The sequence below is a fragment of the Homo sapiens genome, chromosome 1 (genome assembly GCF_000001405.40).
Source record: "Homo sapiens chromosome 1, GRCh38.p14 Primary Assembly".
NCBI lineage: Eukaryota > Metazoa > Chordata > Mammalia > Primates > Hominidae > Homo > Homo sapiens.
Window position 1 is genome coordinate 84,057,764 of NC_000001.11, and position 3,232 is coordinate 84,060,995.

Sequence of the window (3,232 nt, forward strand, 5' to 3'; positions counted from 1 at the left end):
GAGAACCACTGGTGTCTTCAAAGCTGTCAGACAGGGACACTTAAGTCTGCAGAGGTTACTGCTGTCTTTTTGTTTGTCTGTGCCCTGCCCCCAGAGGTGGAGCCTACAGAGGCAGGCAGGCCTCCTTGAGCTGTGGTGGGCTCCACCCAGTTCGAGCTTCCCGGCTGCTTTGTTTACCTAAGCAAGCCTGGGCAATGGCGGGCGCCCCTCCCCCAGCCTCGTTGCCGCCTTGCAGTTTGATCTCAGACTGCTGTGCTAGCAATCAGCGAGATTCCGTGGGCGTAGGACCCTCCGAGCCAGGTGTGGGATATAGTCTCGTGGTGCGCCGTTTCTTAAGCCGGTCTGAAAAGCGCAATATTCGGGTGGGAGTGACCCGATTTTCCAGGTGCGTCCGTCACCCCTTTCTTTGACTCGGAAAGGGAACTCCCTGACCCCTTGCGCTTCCCAGGTGAGGCAATGCCTCGCCCTGCTTCGGCTCGCGCACGGTGCGCACACACACTGGCCTGCGCCCACTGTCTGGCACTCCCTAGTGAGATGAACCCGGTACCTCAGATGGAAATGCAGAAATCACCGTCTTCTGCGTCGCTCACGCTGGGAGCTGTAGACCGGAGCTGTTCCTATTCGGCCATCTTGGCTCCTCCCCTACAATTCTTCCACTGTGAGAGTTACCCAAAGCTCGGCGTCTGTGATGGTCTACCGGGCCTCCGAGGCGATCGAGCAGCATCAGTCTTCAGCCGCTAAGCCGAGAAGGAGTCTGTCAGAGAGCCTTGGGCCAGAGTTCCACAGGCTCTGGGAGTGGCTGCCAGGTGAGTTGAACAGTCCAATTTCCAGTGGGGTCCCGCACAGATGGGACACAGCTTAGGAGGAATCCTGGGCTGCAGGCATTCCTTGGCCTGGTGGTCAGATTTCTGGCACTTGTAGAGAGCTCCTGGGGGAGGAGTTTCTGGAGGAACGCCTGGCCGCTGCAGTTCAGGCGTTTGGAAGTTCTTGTGTGCTGGAGATGTGGCGGATTTGAAATTGGTGAGATGTTTCTTGGGCTGGTCGGTCTGAAGACCTGAGGTCGTAGGTTGATCTTTCTCACGGAGCAAAGAGCAGGAGGACGGGGGATTGATCTCCCAAGGGAGGTCCCCCGATCTGAGTCACGGCACCAAATTTCACGCGCGTCCATGTGAAGAGACCACCCTGATTTGTTTTTCTATGTTATATTTATTAACTCATTATTTTTGCTTTCCACCTTTTTATAATACATTGATAGAAATAGGATGTCAAATTGTTCTCCAAGTGAATCATACAAATTAATCCTCTCTTCCATACAATATAAAAATACCTTTTAACACATATATTAACAAGTCTTAGATAAAGTGTTATCATTCTTTATGGTAGTTATGAATCAGATATGTAGAGAATCTTATCCTATTATTATTTTATTTTGCATGTATAAATCTGAATTTCTTTTCAAGTATTTTTTGGCTGTTTTGGGGTTGACTGCTAATTTTCTTTACCACTTTTCATCTTACTTGTAAATAAGATTTGTAGGTGTTATTTATATTTAAATAATATTAGATCTTTGACTAATCTTTTGTAATTTTTTGGCTGGCTTTTCTTTTTCCTTCCTTTTTTTTTTTTTTTCTTTTTGCCACATAGGCATATATATGCTTTTTTATTTTATGGTTTCCAGTTTTGTGTTACACTTTTAGAAAATTTTTCTCTACTCTATCATTATAAAAAATTTACTTATGTTTTCTTACAACACTTCCAGGATTTTACTTATTGCATGTATATCTGTAATACTTTTGGAATTAATTTTGGTACAAGAAATGAAACAATCATCTAACTTTTTTCTTACTGGTTAGCTAGTATAATATGTATTTCACAGGCCTTATGAATATTAGTAACAAGACTAGTTAAATCTAATAGTCTAATCAACAGGGAGACTATAGCTGCTTTTTTATTCTTTTGGCTGTATAGTGAAGCAGACTTGTTTTGGAAACAAGAAGGCTCTTAGAGATGAACTTTTAATCTCAGAAAAACTGATAATTTACTTAAAAATTAAAGAAAAGAATACCACATTTTTTGTATTAGCTGATCTATTTTCAGTTTTTCCAGTTGAATTTTTTTCTTTCAATTTTATCACATACTTATTTTCTTATTTACAGGAAGAAAAAACAATTGCTTTATACAGGTTGCCAAATTGTTATCCAAATGTATTATACAAATAGAGGGGAAAGGAGGAATAGTACAGTTCACATTTAGAGTACCTACTTTGTGTTATAAAATATGTAAGACTCTATGTTGTCCACAAAGAATAGACACTATTGTTAAGGAGACAGGATTGATAAGACCGGATGATGGAAAGAGCAACATGGGGGAAAATATCTAAGGATATCTAAGGAAGGGTGATTTTCTAAGGAAGCATGTGTCATTCTATGCTATCATCAATGTAGAATTTGAAATATGGAAGACAAATGTTTACTGTGTATTATTTAGGATTGTGTTCAGTAGCTGAAAATAACATGAAACCTAACCAACAGAAGCTTAAAAGGGGATTATGTATTTCAGAGATTCAACAATGTCATCAAAAACTAGGCTTCTCTATCTTTCTGATCTCCTATGTGGAGAAAGTGGTTTTGTCCTTGTATCCAGGCAAAAAAAAAAAAAAAAAAAAAAAAGTGGAAAGATAGGTAGGAAGGAGAAGTACCTACACCAGAAAATTGAAAATTTTTAAATAAATCCTTAGCTTACATCTTCTTGCTCAAATTGATCACATATTCACCCTGAGCTGTAAGGGAGCCATGGAAGCAACACTTTTTAAAAACAATATAAACCCAAACAAAACTGTGCTTTTGTTGGTAAGAAGGAAGAGAAAAAATGGACTTTGGGAACGCAACTGGCAGTGTCTTTAGTCTTGAGCTTTTAAAATTCATTGTTTACCCTGGTACTGAGTTATTTTTAGAACACAAATCACTCATTCCTCTGTAGAATCCTTCAATAGCTCCCTTTCACCGTCAGGATAAAATAAAAACACATTAGGATAGGTACAAGCCCCCTTTAATCCAGTTATTTTCTACTTCAGCATCTACATCTTTTCCCATTTCCCCATAACGATCCTCCCATATTGGAGTATTTACATTTCCCTGATTGACGTGACCACACTCACATTTCACTGCCTCTGTATAGGCTCAAATGCATGTTCTGCTTCACATGTTTGTCCCCATCTCTCAAGCCCTCTGGC